At 37.5% G+C, this 21,145-nt stretch overlaps 1 protein-coding gene across 52 annotated transcripts in view, besides 1 other annotated feature; it reads left to right on the plus strand.

Annotated features, from left to right (window-relative positions):
- NRXN3 (neurexin 3) overlaps window positions 1-21,145 on the plus strand; it is a 1,697,919-nt gene that overhangs the window by 973,478 nt on the left and 703,296 nt on the right. The window lies entirely within an intron of this gene.
- Window positions 15,189-16,388: an enhancer, noted in NCBI's record as "MED14-independent group 3 enhancer chr14:79625382-79626581 (GRCh37/hg19 assembly coordinates)". NCBI's record gives its function as "activates an origin of replication core promoter dependent on BRD2, BRD4, P300/CBP and CDK7 cofactors, and independent of MED14, by STARR-seq in HCT116 cells {active_cell/tissue: HCT116}" and the evidence as "EXISTENCE:reporter gene assay evidence [ECO:0000049][PMID:35650434]".

Here is a 21,145-nt window from a genome sequence, read left to right on the forward strand (position 1 = left end):
TTTCTACTGAAGTACCCTCCAGACAGGGAGTAAGCAGATTTTTTTTAAAACTTTTCTATAAGCCCCTTAAATATTACAGTCGTCCCATGCTTTCTGTGTTGAAAGAAAACAAATTTAAACTCATAAAGGTGGAGTGAAGGCAAAAAGATAGAATAATGTTTACCTGATGTTTATAGTAGTAGAAAACACTTCATTGTTAGAAATAGCCAAGAAGGCACTTACGTTGTGGGACACTCATCCGTCCCGTTGACAAAAGTTGGATTCATTTTATCTTGCAGAAATTGCAAACTAGCATCCCCTCAGACAAAATCTAGCCCTGATAATACGTATTTGGACAACATAGAAATTATGTTGGCAAGTCTTTTCTACTTCAACACAGTCCCCACCATGCCCATTGTACAATGGCTGGCCAAATTCACACATTTAAGTTCCTAGCTCCCAAAAGACTTGAGGTTGAATGCCTTGCTAAAGGTTTTTAGTGCAACTCTGCTTTGCTAGAAGATGAATTCCTACCTTGCAAAAAACTCGGATGCATGTCTCCTGAGATTGGAATGGACAAGGAACAAATGTACTTGTTTGTAGTACTTCTAGAATGTCTCCCTAAATCATCTTAGAAGCAGAAATCTTACCCAAAATATGATGCTTGCCAATATATTGTTTACCACCCATCATGCTCTGAACCATCATGCCTCTTGTCTGGGTAGCCTTGCTCTATGAGGCAATTTGTGGTATAAAGATTTTTCATTAAGTTTTGGCCAGTGAAGATGTTGTCAATGTACAAAGTCAGTAATGCTTCTTGTGAAATGGTCGCCTCTCATGCCAATCTTGGAAGCGTAACATTTTCTTGACCACTTTAGTTCTAATGACTTCACGTTTATCCTGAACTAGAAATATGGTATCTTCTTGGTTGTTTATTCTCTTTCTTCTTCCCTCTTTATATCTCTCCATCCTTCTTTCTTCCTTCTTTTTTCTTCCCTCTATTTCTTCCTTCTTTCCATCATTCTCTCCTCTTTCTTTCTCTCATTCTGTTTCTTCCTCTTTTTTTTGAAAATCTTAGCAAGAGTTAATGGACTTATGATCTAAAAATTAGGTTATTAGAAATTTTTGTCATAAAACCTGGAGAATTGATGTTTGAATTCTCCTTGGCTAGAGTCAATCCTTTATCCTTTTTAGGTAAATGAATTAAGTCTCATGCAATTTCCTGTGTGGGAGACTCTTTAGATGAATCATTTAAATGGAAAGCCCTGTCTGCTCATCAAGGGGCGCGATTTTAGAGTTTTCCTGAGTATTATGTGCACGCTTAGTACAGTCATTGAGATACATAAGGCAACCATGTGCCTTAATCTGTATGAAGTCTCAGTTCATATGTGATTATTTAGGTAAAGTATATAACTGAAATTTTACATCTTTTGATCTCTTTGCAAAATTTCCCTGAGCCACTTAAAAATAACCTTTCTTTACTCCTTTTTGTCTTGAAACATTTTTATTGGAAGACTTCAGACCTAACTTTAGTACCAGAGACCGAAAGTCATATCTCACTTAGTTCTACAATCTCTAGTCCACTTTTGATACTCAGAATAGATAGTAAAGGTGCTATTTTTTTACCCCAGAGTGACAGACTGTTATAAATGTTGGGATCCTATGAAGTACTGTGGAGAGTATTTAATGAGCCGTTGTAGAGCCTACACAGATACATTTATATAAGATATTGTTTTTATACCAGCCTCAAATGCTCCTAGGAGCAGCCAGACAGGTCTTCCTCAAAAGGATAATCTGGAATCTTTACCTTTGCAATTGTTCTATGATACTTCTCTTTCAATGCACAACTCCCAATTAATTCCTTGGTACTCCTTGCAATAAGAGAAAATTAAAAGGGACTCATTTGATATTAGATGGGATCACACTTATATACCTATTGCATTGTATAATAAGTAAGCATGAGTATCATTCTGTTGTATAGTCCCAAACTTTTCCTTGAAATAATTGGCAAGAGGATAGAGGAAAGACATCCAAGATTTATTAATACCTTCATGGTTCTAGTTACCTCTATAAACTAGTGAAACCTTTTCCAAATATTGTAGATAAAGAAATTGAGGCACAGAGGTGTTACTTAACTGATTCAAGTTCACACAGCTAATAAACAACAGAGGCACAATTCCAAACCAGCTCTTCATGGCTCTAAAATCTGTGTTTTTTCCATAATAAGCTGCCTAATTTATTGCGCTTTTATTGTGGTAATTATTTTACAAGCATTATTGCATTTAATCCTCATAGCCTTGTTATGTAAGTCCCAATAGTCCCCATTTTTGCTGATGAAGGAAGTAGGATTCAGAGAAATCAAGTAGCTCTCATGTTGTCTCACAGTGAATAAGCAATAGATTCAAGATGAACTCCAGAGCCTGTGCTCTTAACCACTACAGAAAATTATGAAATTACAAGGCATGGTCCTGCCTTGTGGCTCTAGCATCAAGTTGGTAAGACAACACAACACCAAGGCTCTTAAGGAATCCTCTGGACTTGAGTGTATGTATGGGAGGAGAAGAGGGTGTTCTAGGTAGGATAGTAACATGACAAATTCAAGGATATGAGAATGGAATGTTCAGCTTTATTTTCATTTTAGATAAAGTTATAATATCTGATAAGATAGCATGGAAGGAAGGAACTTCACTCTCCTGGAGTGTAGAGTTGTCAGGAGTGGACTTGAAAAAAAGAGTGACAACCATGAGGTCTGATAGGCTTTAGAACGCAGGTCTTAAAGAGCCTGGAGAAAAGAGCGTGCATCACAAATCCTACATAGACAGCAAAACCACTGCCCAGGTAAACCAAGGCCGCAGTCTAATCTTGGAAGGAGAGAGTAATTTAGGACAGCAAAGCAGAATCCATCTCCTTGGGCAAAGCTTCAGGAAAGCCCTGTCTGAATCTAAGAGGGAGCTCTCGGAAGGAAAGGAGAAGGACATTTGCAGAAGGAAGAGAGGCAGCCTTGGCCCTTATGAACTCTGGGGGAGGTTCCTCCCCCTACTCTTAACTGAATGTGGCCATAAGTTGAACACCAGTGAACACCAGCAACTGCTGAGACTGAGGAGAGCAGCAACAACTGAGCAATTAACCTTTGGTGATGGGCTTGAAGTTCTAATTAAGAGCAGAGTCTCTTCTATCAGGTGGGAGGGGGAACAGCAGAAAGATGTATGAGGGGGATGAAAAAGACCAGCATGTTAGCAGGTCAGATTTAAAAGACATCCAAATGGGTGTAAGAGGGTGAGAGAAAAGAAGGAGATCACTGACCAATTAATTTTTCTGTTTCCCAGTCAAAGTTTCTTCTCCTTTCTCTTAACCCTGCAGTGACTGCTGTGTGCAGAAGCCAGCAGCTCCGGGGAGAGCTGACGTTGAATGCTTATGCTCCTCTCTGTTGTAAATTCCTTTCTTCATTTGCTGAGTATCATTGGTAATTTCTATGTAAATTTTCTCAGAGTAGCAATTTAGCAGCTTTTCTGTTGACAAATGAGGAATAACTTAATAGTCAAGTGACTGCATGTCATGTTTCGCAAGGAGGTGGAAGTAGCGCCTTGTAGATCGCAGGGATGGATGCTGGAAGTGGGCGATCTTGGGAAAGCCTCATTGCCTCAGTGCCCTATTTAATTTCGCCCATTTAAGATAGGAGAGAATAAGCTTCTATACTTGAGGAACCTAGTTTCTTGTGAAGAGTGATTGTTAGGAATCTTTTCTCTTTTAGCACTTAGTTAACGAATACCTTTCAAACCAAATCAAGAGGCAAGACCCCCTCCAACTTTGTCCAGAAGCCTTCACAAGCAGAGGCATATTTTGTTTTGTATCAAATGCTTCTCATTGTCCATATTCAGGAGGCAGGCAACAGTGGGGTCCTTTTTGAAGTGACCAGGGATGGATGCAGGCAGCAAGGCATCGTTGCTTTCCAGATGCCACCTTTACTATAAGAATCGAAGTCCTTTAAAGTGGACTCTGAGAAACTTCACCTAAATCATTTCCCAAGGTGACAGCTCTCTATGCAGTTTTTTCTCCTAACTAGAAAGCTTCCTCTTGCCACTGCGCTGAAAATGGGAAAAGTAGGTGGATGGGGAGGTCTTTTTTAAAGCCCAGATTTCTGGAATTTGTGGTCCTTCTACTTTCCTGTCTCCAGCAGTGACCTTCTCCTCATTTATTCATGACAGAATCATACGTATAAAAATTCATGTATTCTGGTCACCGTTCTAAATTCTGGATGGTGAAAAAAAATATGCAGGGCCCCTCCTTTTATGGAACTTTCATTTTAGGAAGGAGGAAACAGTAAGCAAGTGAACAGATAAGTTAGTGGTATAAAATTGTTTAAGAGTGACTGGATGGGAGGAGGGTTTACTGGAAGCTCAGAGGGTTCATGGTAGCCCACTCTGCAGAGATGAGAGTTAAACAGTGTTGTGAATGATTGAAAAGAGCCAACCATTCACAGATCTAGGGAGGCATGCTCCCAGAAGCTGAGACAGCTAGAGCAAAGGCCTGAGGTGGGAAAGAACTTAGCTTGCTGATAAATCAGATACAGAGCCAAGCTGCTGTTGTATTGTAAGATTATTTCAGACTCGGGAGTAGGGATGTGTTTGCACTTCTAGCTCTATAGGCCCTCATGAGCCTGTTGGACACATTGTTAAATTGATGCCAAGTAGCTCAAAGCAGAACCCAGTCCCTTGTCCCTCATCTTCTTTCTGCTGACTTCATAAGAACATGGTTCACTTTCACTGCCTTCCTTTGTGGACATACTCAGCCTGCGAATTAAAAACAGAACTGATTTTCTCATCTCCCTTGGATCCTGGGGAAATTAAGGCCTGCCTAGGCCTCAGTTCTTTCCCTAGATTGAGATTAAAATAGCTTTCCTTGCAATCATCCAGATGCCAATTTAATAAACATTCTCTGGCCCCTTCCACATATAACCCCTGGACTGCCTTACTAATTTCTTAGCATTCTTCTCCTTTTCTCCACAAATCCTCCCTTTAAAGAGTGTTTTTTTCCCATGCCTTTCTTATTCTTTTTTGTGGAAAGCCCAAATTAGTTTGTTTATTTTTGCCCTTAAAGTCCACCATATCCAAATGAGAAGTACAGAAGCTATTACCTTAAAAGTAAGCAGTGAGAATCCTAACATCTTTTTTTCCATCCCCACATTCTCCTCAATATGTTCCCTGTCCTTTGATGCATAAGAGGGTGAAAACCTCACATGAGTATTTTATGCACTACCATTTTACAAGTGTTTCAGTAAATATTACTTCATGTAATTCTCATAAAAATCTTGGGAGATCAGCAACACAAGAACTGGTAGGAAACTCTGTAAGGGGGAATGTGGGGATGCGAGGGAAGCCAGATCATTTCCAAAGTCCAAAGGTCAGATCTTCACGTTGAAACCCAGTCTGCACTGACCTTTGACCTGGCATCACCATTCCATAGCTATTTGTTGGTGTCAGCATCCTGGATAGGGGGATTTTTTTTTTTTTCAAATTGTAATTCAAAGGCTAACAGAAAAGAGAAGGTAGGCTTGAGAAAGCACTAGTTTTCTTGGGACTCTGACTTATTATTTGGAAGAAAATTGATTGAAAGCATAGGTGATTATTTGTTCCTTGTATCTTTCAGAAAAAATCAAGTGCTCTATGACATTACTGAGTATATACCCAAAGGAATATAAATCATTCTGTTATAAAGAGACATGCATGCGTATATTCATTGTGGCACTATTCACAATAGTAAAGACATGGAATCAACCCAAATGCCCATCAATGATAGACTGGACAAAGAAAATGTGGTACATATACACCATGGAATACTATACAGACATAAAAAGGAATGAGATCATGTCCTTTGCAGGGACGTGGAAGGAGCTGGAAGCCATTATCCTCAGCAAACCAACGCAGGAACAGAAAACCAAATACCACATGTTCTTACTTGTAAGTGGGAGCTGAACAATGAGAACACATGGGCACAGGGAGGGGAATAACAAACAGTGGGGCCAGTCATGGGGAGGGGAGGAGGAGAGCATCAGGAAAAATAGCTAATGCATGCTGGGCTTAATACCTAGGTGATGGGTTGATAGGTGCAGCAAACCACCATGGCACACGTTCACCTGTGTAACAAACCTGCACATCCTGCACATGTACCGTGGAACTTAAAATAAAATGACACATTACTTTCCCCACTGTTTTTTTTTAAGCAAAAGTGTTCTCACACAGAACACAGGCAAGCATGTCTAACATGTTCCATTCTAAGTCTTGCCCTTGCATGTGGTTGAAAATGACTATGGACTATCCACATCACAAATTATGGGTTCCAGTGTGTATATGGACACTTCTGAATTCACTCAAAATTTTTCTTACTGATCCCTATTGCCAGATGGGGGAGATCAGCTTCTATATTAAGCAAGGATGTGTCCAACTTTTGAAATGGAATGAATAGTTAAAATTGTGCATTTCTCACTCTGGTGGTTGCCTATAGCTGTCTCCGCCCCCACCCCCACCTCTCTTCCCCACCACCTTCACCAGCAGTAGAAAAGTATGTCATATGTGTGTGGGGTGGGTACAGATAGAGAAACTTGGCAGAAATAGGGTGAGAGATGTGACTAACACCCTCAGCTAATTTCTGTGCATGTTCCCAAACAGAGATCTGCAGAGAAAGGAGCAAGAGTTCCTTGCATTCTAACCCAAGCCACCCCTTCACACTTCCAGCTTTAGTTCACTTCTCCACCTTCCATGCATGGTTGCCATCTGACCTGGCTACTGAGAAGATCAGACCTCCCAGTAGGAGATCCACCACATAAGCTAAAAATAAGAGCTGCTACTTCTCTGCAGATACCATTAACCCAATTAGATAAATAAAAAAAAAAAAAGAAAAAGAAATTACAGCTTCATTAAGTAACACCAGAATAAACTCCAAGAAGGCAAACCAAATCAGTTATACAATTTAAAACTTTACTCAAAAATCAAAATGATTTGAAACCAATGGTCACTTAAATGAAGGCAGAAGCTGCATGGCAGCCATTATTGGAGCCAGCAATTCAGCAGAAGTCCAAAGGTCCAGTGCAGCAGTACATGTGACAGGTGATGTTGCCTGCATACACAAAATTAAATGGAACTAGTTTTCGAGGGTCTTCTTGTCTCCATGAAAAGAGAATGTATCCTTCTGAAAGTCCTTTTGTTTAAAAATATGATCAGGCTCTGAAAGAATTTTAGGTCTTGATACTAACTAACAGAAGACATGCATTTATTAAAAATTGTATCACAAAGGGGTGAACTGGGGCCTGATTGATTGATGTTGAAATTTGATTTATCCCCAGTAGAAAGTGCCAGGATATTAAGCCTCTATTACTCCACAAGGGATACCATTTTGCCTTTGGTGGGTGAGGTAAATCTTCAGATTAGAAATGGTAAAGCCTCAAGACTTCCAAAAACATACAGGCTCCTATTGTATACTTGCTGAAGTTCCTATAATTATTTACAATTCCCTGCAAAGAACATTCTTGGGGGTGAGTCCCAGAACAGAGGTGAGCCTCCAGCTGCAAAAACCATAGCAAGTATGGCAGGGAGCATCTTTGATTCAGAACAGAACGCCACTCATCGTTCCATCAGAACAGGGGCAGGAGGTTCCTGCCAATACTGATTGATGCCACGAATCAACTGGAGTTGTTCCATGATCCACATGGTCCTTGGACTTGGTGCTGTCCTGGAAACTGGATTCATTGCTCAAGGAGCTGAGATAAAAGAAAGCAGCCTAACCAATGGCCAGCTCAAATTAGGAGCTCAAATGAACAGGGCCTCAAGGAAGTCAGCCTCTGAGAATCTGAGATTTCCAGACTCTGATAATGGGAATCTCACCTATTTGTCCACTTTTGGGGTAGATCTAGACACCGTGATGTGTCAGCAGCCTCTTAGTTGCTGAGACAATTGTCCCAGAGTGCACAGACTAAATCTAAATCCCTACAATATGTTTTCAATGAATTTATGCCACACTAATTTTCTAATTTGCAATTTTTAAGTCAATATACTTTATTTTCTTTTAAAAATAGTGTTTTATATTTTCATACTATAACATATTTCCATGATATTAAAATTGGCAAGTAAAGAAAATAAAATATGTAAAGTCATTACTGTCATCCTCCCAGAAGTGATGTGCTAACAATTAGACATATTTCATCCCCAGTTTTTTTCTACAGACACTTTTGCTTTACCATATTGTGTACTTGGGTCTATTTTCAACTCTGAGCCACTTGCTATATTGAACAGTGTTTCTACAGACACCGTGCTGTTTCTTCTTTCCTTCTTTCACTCAACAATCATTTACTGAGCATTTTGAGAAGAACTGGGAGGACAGCGATAGAATGCTTTTGCATTTTATCTGCAGTCAACTAGTTAGAAACCAGAAACAACTATCTTGCATCTCACTATCTTGTTATTTGCACCTTTAAAATCCCTTTGCAGAATAGGTGCATAGTATTAATTTGATAACTAAATGAAAACAAAATGGAGTTCATCAAAGTGGATTTGTTTTGAATTGGCTTGGAGTTACTGGCAGTCTATGATGACATACGCTACTCCCCACCATTGACACATGCATTCAAATGCAGATGCTATATTAGTCTGTTCTCACACTGCTAATAAAGACATATCCAAAACTCGGTAATTTATAAAGGAAAGAGGTTTAATTAACTCACAGTTCCATGTGGCTGGGGAGGCCTCTTAATCATGGCAGAAGGTGGAGGAGAAGCAAGACATGTCTTACATAGCAGCAGGCAAGAGAGCTTGTGTAGGGGAACTGCTGTTTATAAAACCATCAGATATCTTGAGACTTATTCACTATCATGAGATTGGTATGGGGGAAATCACTCCCACAATTAAGTTATCTCACCCTGACCCCACCCTTGACATGTAAGGATTATTACAATTCAAGGTGAGATTTGGGTGAAGACACAGCCAAACCATATCAGAGGCACACACAATTTTATGTGTTTGTGAAGAAAAGGCAATTGTGGAAACTTTACTTAAAAAGTGTAATGTCAATCTCATGAGTTGAGGACAGTTAGGAGACCCTGAAATGACACCTGTGGGCTTGCATTTTATTCTTGGTCACTGCTAAACCATTTTTCACTTCCCTCTGTTTCAGTAACCTAAAAATCTAGGGTTCACAAAACAATGAGATTAAGGAAGCCAACTGATAACTATTGTAATAGGATAGGAAATGTTTCCTGATTTGGGAAGGATGGGCAAGGAGGTGGAGAATGAGCTTCCAAGGCAGTTTTGATTTTCCGGAAAAACTCATCTTAAAACTGATTATCTCCCCAACATGAGACCTACCAACTGACCTGTATCAGCCTAACTGCAATGTATCTGTCTAAAGCTGTTAAACACAGCTATTTTCAAAACATTTATCCATTTTCATAAAAGATTTCTTAAAATTCAAGCTAGGTTTTCTTCCTTTATTTGAAAAGGGAATATGGTAATTTTAGGAATATGATTATATATGCATATGTGGAAGAGAAGCAGAATACTTAAAAGACAAGCATTTCCTCTTTTTATTTGAGAGAGAGAAAGAGAGAGAAAGAAACTCCTAGGCAATCAGAGCAGAACATTCCTAACCTTACATTTGATCCACCCATTGAGCTACTGAATAAATGCTTAATATGTCAGTGAGCCCACAAGTTTCTTGTCCTGGGCCCTTTAAACTGATATATCTCAATCACCTTTACTGAAATGTTATCCTGAGAAGACCGTAAACCCAGGGCTGCTCACCACTGAGTCTTCTTTTATGAAGGTTTCTCAGGAGAACATACAGCTAAAGATCTCTAACATTTTTCCTGAGTAGACCTCTTTTTTCTCTTCATGAGGATATCATAATAAATGACTCGTTGGTAATTTATCAGAGCTTGTTCCTTCCCCAACCCATTCTCCTTAATGCATTTTTTAAATTTATCCAGTATTTGAAATGCAGAAGTCCAGGCTTGGTAGGAACCCAGAAGAGAAGAAGGTGAAAGAACAAAATGACTGTGAAGCTAAGAAATCCAGATTTGGAAGGAGTAGCATCCTCACAGATGCTCACAGAAGTCCATATGACACTCCTTGCATTGCCTGGGGCTTTATGGAAGAAGCAGGGTCACGCAGGATTAGTCATTGCCCAAAGAGCGAAGAGCATGGAACTCGCCAATAGCCTGCAAACTCTTTCCTTTTGGCTTTTCTAGCACTTACTACTCTTTTATGACTTTTACTTTACTTAATTTTCTTATATACCAGGAATATAACCAACCAGGGTAGTTGGGGGCCATTGTGTATTGAGCACTGCCCAACTCAATTCACTTAGCTTGCAATGTGAATGGCTTCTCTCTTCTAGAGGTGCTCAAGGTGCAACCCACATAATCACACCTGATAGCCATGTTGTCAATGCCCAATCACATTTTAAACACTTGGAGGGCAGAGACTATGACATAGAGAAAGATTTGAATAGCTATTCACAGAATTCAGTTGAGCTGAAAAAGTCAGAAGAGGAGACTAGTTTCACTGACTACAAGAAAGAGTGATTTGGTTTTCTGAGAGTGAAATCTTCCCCCACAAACATGTACTGTTTGGCAACATGTTTTTTTAAGCCTTTAGAATTGTAATGCTTTTTGCTGGGTCATATGTTCTCAAATTTTGCCTCAAGCCCCATCATTCCCTGTTTTATTATGGTAAGCTTATTCACACATTTATATACCTGCCAGGCTATTGTAGGTATTTTGATATGTGGCTTGGCCTTTCTGGGCCTCATTTAACCTCTCTAGACTGCAGTTTTCTCAACTGAAAAAATTCCCATCATATCTGCCCTGCCTATATCATGAGACTTTGTGACGATTCAAAGGAGCAATTCAGGCACAAGCTGTGTAAAGGTTACAGAACACAATATAGACTACATTATCATTAAACTACTTGATAGTCTTATGACTATTTTTATGGTAATGAAACGTAATCCAATGCAACTTCGTATATGTAAGTAAAACTTCTTAATTCTTGTCTTGTAAAACTGAATCTTCATCCTTTGACTGATCAACTGACCAGCTTAAACCTTGGAGAATCTTAAACTTCTGAACACATTTTACTTCTCTCTTTATGTTCCCCTGTGGATCTCTTATGAGTATACAGAGATTGAGAGTCCACCATACAGGTTACCTTTCACTCAAGAGGTTGTGGCATCCTATTCATTGTCAACTACTGGACTTTTTCCTCCCCGTCGTGGAAAATTGGTGTCACATTGCCACATGGAGCATCCCTTCTTCACTCTTGACCCTTCCTTCATCAATGGTGGAGCATCCTCCTGAAGCTGGAGAAGAGAAATATAAAGCTATGTGTTTCAGAATGAAAGGACCAATCACAAGAAACTCTCAAGCCTTAAAATACATTTAGCTTTTGGATATAATACATCACATCTGTATTTGTTAGTAACATATTAAACAAAATGATAGATAAAATGTAGATTATATAAGAACCTATGTAATTGACATGATTTAGATACTCATTCAAAGATGAGTCATGAAAAAGGTACGGTATTGTCATTGCACAGTATTTCCTATCCCTGTGACATATGAATACCACCTTCACCGTTTTTGTAGTATTCACTCATCACTTGCACTGTTATTTACTTAATAGTCTTCTTTAAGTTGATTTATTTTACTTAAATATATTTATTTTGAAAGCAAAATATATAATTCTAAAGTAAATGAAAAGTCGGTATTACTTCTCATAAATAAAAATAATTGTAAAAATAAAAGCTTTAAGAACAAATTATGTTGTTATATTTTAGCTATGTATTATAGCCTGACAAAAGACAAGAATTAGTCCTCATTTAAAAAAAATAAAGGAGATTGGCAGATTTTAAAAAGGCTTTTAAAGATATATAAGTGCTTATTTTCTCTCTGAGGAAATAAAGAGCAAAAGAAAACTTAAAAGTTAATAATTTTGCATAAGTATAATTTGGAATGATTCAGTGTATTTTTTCATTATGACTTCAAATCATTTAATGTATCAAAAACATAGTCATAAACATTGGGGTCATCATCTATTTTGATTGTAGAGATTTTACTTTTATACATAGATGTTTTCAACAATATAACCTAAATTTCTGGGAAGTTATATCTTTTACATTTATTTTAAAAATCTCTCTCTTCCCTCACTTCTTCATTGAAGTAATAAGGGACTTAACTTCTTTAAACCAAAGTTTCCATTATAGATAATAAAACAACCATCACAACAAGAAACTACTAAATGATTATTTATTCAGATCCCAGAAGAAGTGCTTTACACGGATACTCTACTTCAACCCTCACAACTGCTCCATAAAGTAAATGCTATTAGAGTAACCGTTTTACAGATGTGAAAAATAAGTCTTAGAGCAATTTCTTAGTTTGCTGTGATCACACAGCTAGCATGTCAGGCAATCTGATCTGGCACCTGCAATCTTAACCTTTCCTGAAATAATCTTATTACTTAAAAAAGTATTACTAATAATGATAAGAGGCTATATTTCATTATTTTTTGAAAAGTATGTTTATGGTCTATGTCACAAATTAAGAGTGACAATCAGAAACTCCTGTACCATTGGAAAATGAAATTTTACAATTTGGATTGCTGTTCAGGAAGCAAGGTTAAACAAATAAACAAAAATAAACAATGACAAAAGCCTTTTAATGACCATTCTGGATTTTTTTTTCATTTTAAAAATGAATGCTCAATGTTTCTTCCTCCTAGTGTATTGCTTTACTTCCTTAACAGAATCCTATTTTATTAAGAAGACTGTGAAGACAAATTTTAGACTGAGGTTCTGAGAGATGTCTTAGAGCCAGAGAAAAATGAAAAATTCCAGAAGTCTACAGAATCCAAGTAAAGAAGACTTTGTTTGGAATTGGCAGCAATGACTTCCACTAGTAGCTTACCATGCTAGTGTAATTAATCTCACTCCCATTTCTACTTCTTTTTATGGCAGAATTTCTTAACCTCAGCACTGCTGACATAGTGGGTCATATACTTCTTCATTGTGAATGGCTGTCCTCTGCATGGTAGAATGTATAGCAGCATTCTTGGGCTCTATCCACTAAATGCCCAGAGCATCCCCCAAGTTGTGACAATAAAAGGTATTTCCAGACTTTGTAACATTACTCTGGTTAACCACAGCTAGAGATTACCTCAACTTGTGATACTTTTCTGCTTATTTTGGTGTTAATTGGTATCTGCCATTGTTGCTGGTGGTCATGTTATTGTTGTTGCTTTGTCCTTTAGTAAAGGTTCCTTCTCTGCTTAGAGACAGGACATGCTTAGAACCCTTTGGGTCTTAATAAAACCTCTTTTAATATTCAAGGTATAGCAGTGAGATATAAAAATGATTGCATATTGACATATATCTAAATATTTTCACTTTGATTTCAGCATTGAATCAACATCTCTATCAGCTTGTCTTCCTGGAGAAGGATATTTTTTGGAGGTTCTGGTCAAGCTCAGTGGTTACTGAAGCTGTCGGGAGTCTTACCACCTTGGGGTCACTGTGGAAACCAGAAAATAAATGGACAAAGCTGGGATTGCTTTTTGGCTAGTATAATATTTCCAGAATCCCTGAGGCTTGCTTTTAAATCAGCATAAGCTGGTTTTGTGTCTCACTTTTGTGTTGTACAATTACAGAAAGCAGCAAATACTTATCTTGGCATGTCCTGTCATGACATGAGCCAAAAGCTGTCATCCTCATAGATTCCCTGTCTAAGGGAATAGTTGCCCTATCAGCATTTGAAAGAAACACTCCTGAAACCTTTTGGAGACTCTAAAGTTATGTACTGTCATTTGATGGATAAGTGACTCAAAATTCATATTGATCACATCATTTCAAATTCTTACCTGTTAGACTGGTGAGAGAACTCTAGGTACTTTGTTGGGAAGGATGATGGAGAAGAGAGAAGTGAAAATATGAAGGATTACTTATAACAAAAGACTTGAGAAATATTTTAGGCTTGAGAAGCATTTTATAAGGGAAAGATATTTGTGATGGGGACTAGTAAGTACCACTTTTCACCTATTGCCATTTGAAAATTGACTGTTTGCATATTGTTTTTTTCTGAAATGCCGCTATGCAGTCAGGGATGAGAAGGGGATTGTGATTGAGTAAAGATCTTTCTTAGAATCATGTCCTCATTTGTAAATTGTGATTTTCTGTCCATTAAGAAGATAATAATTTCTTTTTCCTGACATGGCCTTGTATTTTTAACTTCTTGCTCCACCCATACTCAAATGCAGGTTGATTTATTCTCCTTTATGCTAGGTGACTTCCCCCTGTGTATACTCTCTTTCAGAAGTATTTCTTTCTATCTCCCTAAAATCAAAACCAATGTTCACCTTAGGTTGTGTAGAAAAGTCTCTGCTAAGGCACCTCACACCTTTCTAAATCACATAAGTTATAACTTATTTATATATTTACTTTGAAGTACCATTCCTGAATATCTAATAGTGAGATTAATGAGTTGGTTAATGTGGTATCAATTTAGGGCAGAAATCATTTTGAGGAACTCATAAATACCTACTATTATGATGTATGAAGCTTCAGGTTTTTATGGCTGCCACTCAAACAAAGAAATATTATTTGGAAGATGTGATTTGATGTTAGTATTTAATCAAATGTACTTATTTCACCTACTTGCTGAATAAGCACCCTTCTTTACTACCATCACTGGTTTTCATATTGAGGTATGTGGATTTATCCTTTATCATTGCTCACCTTTGAAGATGGTGGCATAATTAAAGAATTACAAGGGGATTTCAGAAAGTTGTAGATAAATTGAACTAAAAGATAAAAATAGAAAAAATTTATTTCTCAACATAAGCTCCATCGGGTTCAAGACATTTTTGTAAGCTATGATACCAGTGATTTAGTCCATCCTTAAAGAACTGAAGGTCCTGAAAATATAACCATACTAATGCATTCTTTTTGACATTATTACCTGAAGAAAACTGGGTGCCCTTTAAAGAGGTTTTAAGATTAGGAAACAAAGTTAGGAGGAGCAAAATCAGGGCTGCAAGATGGTTGCCTAATTATTTCCCATCAAAACTCTCACAAAATTGCTCGTGTTTGATGAGAAGAATGAGCAGGAGCACTGTTGTAGTGGATGAGGACTCTCTGGTAAAGCTCTCCTGAGTGGTTTTGTGTTTTTGTTTGTGGTTTGCAAAAGCTTTGGCTTTCTCAAAATACTCTCATAATAAGCAGGTGTTATTGTTCTTTGGCCCTCCATAAAGTCAATGAGCAAAATGTCTTGAACATCCCCCAAAACTGTTGCCATGACCTTTGTTCTTGACTAATCTGCTTTTGCTTTGATTTGACCACTTCTACCTCTTGGTAGCCATTGCTTTGATTGTGCTTTGTTTTTAGAATCATAGTGATGAAGCCATGTTTCATCTCCTGTTACAATTTTTCAAAGACATGCTTCAGGATGTTGATCTCACTTGTTTAAAATTTTCATTTAAAGCTCTGGTCTTGTCTTCAGCTTATCTGAGCACAGTGGTCTTGACACTGATTGAGTGAAAAGTTTGCTCAACTTTAATTTTTCAGTAAGCATTGTTAGTGAACCAATTGAGGTGTCTATGGCGTTGGCTATTGTTCATGCTGCTAATTGATAGTCCTCTCCAATTAGGGTACAAAAAGATTATTTTTTTCTTCAGAAATTGAGTGGATGGTCTGCTGCTGTAGGTTTCATTCTCAACATCATTTTATCCCTTCCTAAAAATATCCATTTTTAAACTGCTGATTTATTTTGGCCATCGTCCCCACAAACTTTTTGTAAAGCATCAGTGATTTTACCATTCTCTCACCCAAGCTTCACCATAAATTTCATGTCTGTCCTTGTTTCAATTTTAGCAGAATTTGTATTGCTCTGATAGGAGCACTTTTAAAACAAATGCCTTTTCTCTTACTCCCTCAAACTAGATCATGTTCAGACATGTTATAACAAGTTAGTACAAGTTTATTTTGCTACAAAGCCAAATAGAAATTTATGCATTTTTTTCTTATATGCGTTTTCCACGAACTTTTGGAAGACCCCTCATATATCCATCTACATATATGGCCAGTGCTAAATCTCAATGGAAATTGAAGACACAGCATTACTCATTGGAATGAAATGGCTTGCAGGAAATTCCCAAAGCTGGCTAGAAAGAGTTGAGGTAACCTCTTCCCTCTTCATGGTTCCAGTATCACCCAAAGCTTTTCCTCCTCAGCACTAAATCTTTGCTGCAATACTCCTTCTTCAGAGGTGCTTATGAAATGGCCTCATTTCAAAGAATGAAAGTTAGGTTGTAGCAGGAATTTTGAAGCCCAGAACTTTAACATAAATAGTTGAAAAGAAGAAAAATAAAAACTCTTTATACAAATTCTTAATCTTAGTTTACTCTGTGTGTTAAATTGTCATTGCCATAATGATTTTAGTCCTTTCTCTGACCTGGATTCTCCCACTCCCCAGCTTTTAAATTTAGTCCATTCTATGTAGTGCCTCTTGTAATTTAGCACATTGTAGGTGCCCCATTAGTTTTGTTGCTTTATTCACCTGCATCCTCACACATCGTGTGATTGTGCTTGCAGAGCACACTGAACTACAACACATTCTCTCACTCTGAAATCTGTCACCATAAAGCATAAAGCAAAATCCTTCCCTCCTTTACTGAATGGATGGCTGGGTGGATAGCTGTTCTTTGCACATGTTCGTGTTGAGTAGGTGCTGTATAAAATCACTTGTTCTTTTTTTAACGTGACTCACGAAAAAATTATCCCAGCTTTCAGTAATCTCAAGGAAAAAAAAACACTTGCCATCTGCAATTTACTGCTTTTAACCTGAAAAATAGGATCTAAAATGATACTCAGATACTTAAGAGGCTTCACGTGTTGTAGGCAGAAGCTGACAGATGGCACATGGTGGTAGGCTGTTGCCTCATAAGGAGGGAAGGCAGAAGCAAGTAGACAGTGGTATGGAAAGCTTCTTGGGAAGAGGTCATGACAACGCTTCAACCAGAGATAATTAATTATTTGCTATATTCTGTAACTAGCCTGTTTATACAAATAGCTGGTGTGCTCAGTACAACATAGCAGTGAATCTATGGAAAAGGAATCTGTAAATAATAATGCAAGGGAACTTCTCTTACGTCTATTGCTAAGGGGATTATCATAGCATTCAATTTTAAGCCATGTAACCTGGAATGCTTACTAAATGTGTAATTCTTGTTCTTCCTCTTCATATAATGCACAGACTTGAATTCCTATATTGAGAGAATAACTTACCTCTTTTAAATAATACCATAATTTGCCTTGAAGGTAGGGAAGAAAGAGAGTGAAGTGGGGAAAATTTCAAAATTCTGTCTTCCAGGGAGCATATTCCTACTCATCTGTGACGTCTAATGTAATAGATTTTGAAGAATTATTTGTAAGATAGATACTTGGAGAAGTTTATACTCACTTCCTAATCCCAGACTATAGAAACTTCTGCATTCTAGAATTTCAGAGAATGTGTCTCTGTCAATTGTATTCTGAAGATAAGATACATTTGACATTTGATTGCTTCAATCAACATTCTCCAATGCAGATCACTAGGCAGAAACATCTTGACACGGCATATATTTGATACACAATGATTATTTGCATTGACTTTTAACAAAGTCCCATTTAGAAAGATTGAAAGAAAAGGCAAATGTGATTGGATGTATGCTAAAGCGTGTTCAGTATGTGTTTTGAAATATCTTTGAAAGTTCCCAGGATGTGGCACGTATCATTCACTTGAAGCTGAAAATCTCTCAGTTGAGCAAAAACAAGTATTTGCTTTGTTCCATGATGCACTCCACGTGTGACTAAAATGGCAAAGTGAAGCCTCTAGTTTGTAGATACTTGCTTTGGGAGACAGGGAGCTGTCCGTCGTCCTGAACGGGTCATGCTTTAATGAGGATAGACACAGGGTGCAAAGGAAAGTGACTGGGATCCCCTGCCTGCACTGACTTTAACAATAAAGATACTGGAATAATGAGATCCCATGGAATTTAGCAAAATACGAGTAGAAACAAGTGGTAAAGACAGCCCAGACTGTAGTTCAAAGTCTAAGAACATCTAAGCTGCGGGTTCAGGTATAAAATTAGGGCCCTGTGGCTTATCTCAAGACAGTAACTTTCAAAGGGGGGTTTGAATAGTCTTTCCAACTGTAGCTACATTACCTGAGGCAATTAGTTTACTTATTTTTTGTTTTTGTTTTTTTTTTTTGTGGTTAGCTTTTCTTTTTTTTTAATTTATTATTATTATACTTTAAGTTTTAGGGTACATGTGCACAATGTGCAGGTTAGTTACATATGTATACATGTGCCATGCTGGTGCGCTGCACCCACTAACTCGTCATCTAGCATTAGGTATATCTCCCAATGCTATCCCGCCCCCCTCCCCTCACCCCACAACAGTCCCCAGAGTGTGATGTTCCCCTTCCTGTGTCCATGTGTTCTCATTGTTCAATTACCACCTGTGAGTGAGAATATGCGGTGTTTGGTTTTTTGTTCTTGCGATAGTTTACTGAGAATGATGATTTCCAGTTTCATCCATGTCCCTACAAAGGACGTGAACTCATCATTTTTTATGGCTGCATAGTATTCCATGGTGTATATGTGCATCCATCAAAAAGTGGGCGAAGGACATGAACAGACACTTCTCAAAAGAAGACATTTATGCAGCCAAAAAACACATGAAAAAATGCTCACCATCACTGGCCATCAGAGAAATGCAAGTCAAAACCACAATGAGATACCATCTCACACCAGTTAGAATGGCAATCATTAAAAAGTCAGGAAACAACAGGTGCTGGAGAAGATGTGGAGAAATAGTTTACTTATTTTTTAAGGCAAGCAAGGTGGGCCTGATTGTTACATGAATTACCAAATCTAATGACAAAGCCAGGTGCCCTGGTACTGAGGCTGTGTCTCCTCTACTCCCCATTTCCTCCCCTTTCCATCACTATTTTCTCCACCCTGCCTATCCTCATTTCTCTTTGCTCCTCCTCTTTTTCCTTCTACTCTCTTCTATCCTCCCATTCTTTTATTTCTCCTCTCTTACATCCCTTCCACTCCCTTTCCTTCTCTTCCTTTTTTTCTTCTCTCTGTCTCTCTGCATGTGTCTGAATTAACTCTTGAGTCAGCATTTAAATTTGGTAATTGAATGTTATGGGTCTTTATGGGCTTCACTTTGGGAGAACTGCTTTTCAAACAGAGAACCTGATAAGTGGTGGACCTTAGGGTTACTTTGACATGTTTACAAAAATAAACTTATCAGTAGTTTTAGAGACTGCCATTGGAGCAATTATAGTCTATGCTCACAGAGGCTTGGTAGGCTTACCACAATCCAACCTCACTCTCCCATCATTGATTCTCTGCTCTGTGAAACAAGTACTGTACTCTTCTTCAAGCCCAGGTGAATAAGGCTTTTCTAGGAAATTCTTTGGGATTATAATAAAATAATTCCTTCTATGAGAAAGGAGAAAATGGTGGCTTTTGGTCTTAAGTAGATTATTTACCATCTCTCTCAAGAGAGATAAACCATAATTCTTAACAAAACCATATTCTAATGAAGTCATTGGTCACAGTGTCTTCTATCCCAAGAGAGATGCAAATTACTAAATTCCTGTCCTGGTACAAATATAAGAAATCCAGTCATGGCCTGACAAGTTTGAATTCCTTCTTGTCCTTGATATACTCTGTTTACCCCCATTGTAATTTATCTCTTCCTTATTCCTCCATATTATTTAATTTAGTAAGCAAATGTCCCCTGGTATAAGCTGTGTGAATATTATAACTGAATTACTGTCTGTTTGCTTAACTCATTACAGAAAACTATGATAAGGTTTTTAATTACAAAATTAGCCCTGCCAAATGAATTTCTTTCATTCAATGAACTGCAAAAGGTGGTACAGTGAGGATAAAAATCATGTCCTTTCCCATGTTATTTATAGTACTTTTTTCTAAAAATAATTGTTATAATAAAAAATAATGCCAACAACAACAACAATAATATTTTCTTCCTCGTCTGTTTTTGTGTGATTCCTTTAAACTGTTAATTCATGCTGAACTTGTTCAACCAAGATTCCATAAAGTAATCCTCTTCAACCTACATTTTATTCTCAGCCTTGTCTTGAACATCTTACTCTGACCTCACTAGCTCTTCACTTACCAATTTGTTTCTCATCTTCTCCTTAATAACCTTATGAATAAGTTTTCTATGTAGTCCCTTGTATTGCTCTTTAGACCTGTCACTTATCACTTCTTCTTCTTAGGATACTCTTCTCCACTGTAATTCTTATGTCTACTCTAACTATATATCTTTGAATTCTTTAGCATACATAAACATATCTGATAAAGCAGGATCAAGCACAAAGATGCTGTATCTTGCCTGCATCCAACAGACTGGGATTATTCTGAGCTCTCAAGCAAAACATGGTTAAATCCTGACAACAAAATGAAGTGACATTTATGCTTACATATATCCTTCCTTGTTTTCTGCATTTTCATTTGAAAAGTAAACATCTAGTCCATTTTGTTTATGTGTCTAATAATCATTTTATTTTACTTTAATTTCTTTGGTAAAAGCTATGGACTATGGCCATTGCAGAATTATCATAATTTCCATGGAGAAACTTCTGACATATTTTACCAAATATTTTTGAAATGCTACACTCACAGTTAAACCTAGAGAGGATTAATTTGGGAAAAGGGACTACTTTATGAAAATGTGGGAAATTATTTCTATTCTTTCCCTTTTGTCATGCCTATTTCCCTAAAATTAGATTATTTATACTATACAAGTAATTAAACTTATTTCAAAATCTAAAGTTAAGAGAAATTAACAGGTCATTGCTCAGAAAAATGCATAGTAATTGTGAGTTTTCTAAGACTGTCACAACATTTGACCAACAGTCTCCTTACTGAAATTTTATGGTTTCTTTCTCTAGACAAGGCCACATGCATATGAAAGCAGACTTAAAATATTTTTACCTATAGCTGGAAAATCAAATCATAAATGGCAAACTATGTATTACTTATGTTATAATTTTGGAGCTATAATTTTGGAGCTATAAATCCAGGATATCAGACTTTTTTCC

Source organism: Homo sapiens, chromosome 14, assembly GCF_000001405.40.
Source record: "Homo sapiens chromosome 14, GRCh38.p14 Primary Assembly".
Lineage (NCBI taxonomy): Eukaryota > Metazoa > Chordata > Mammalia > Primates > Hominidae > Homo > Homo sapiens.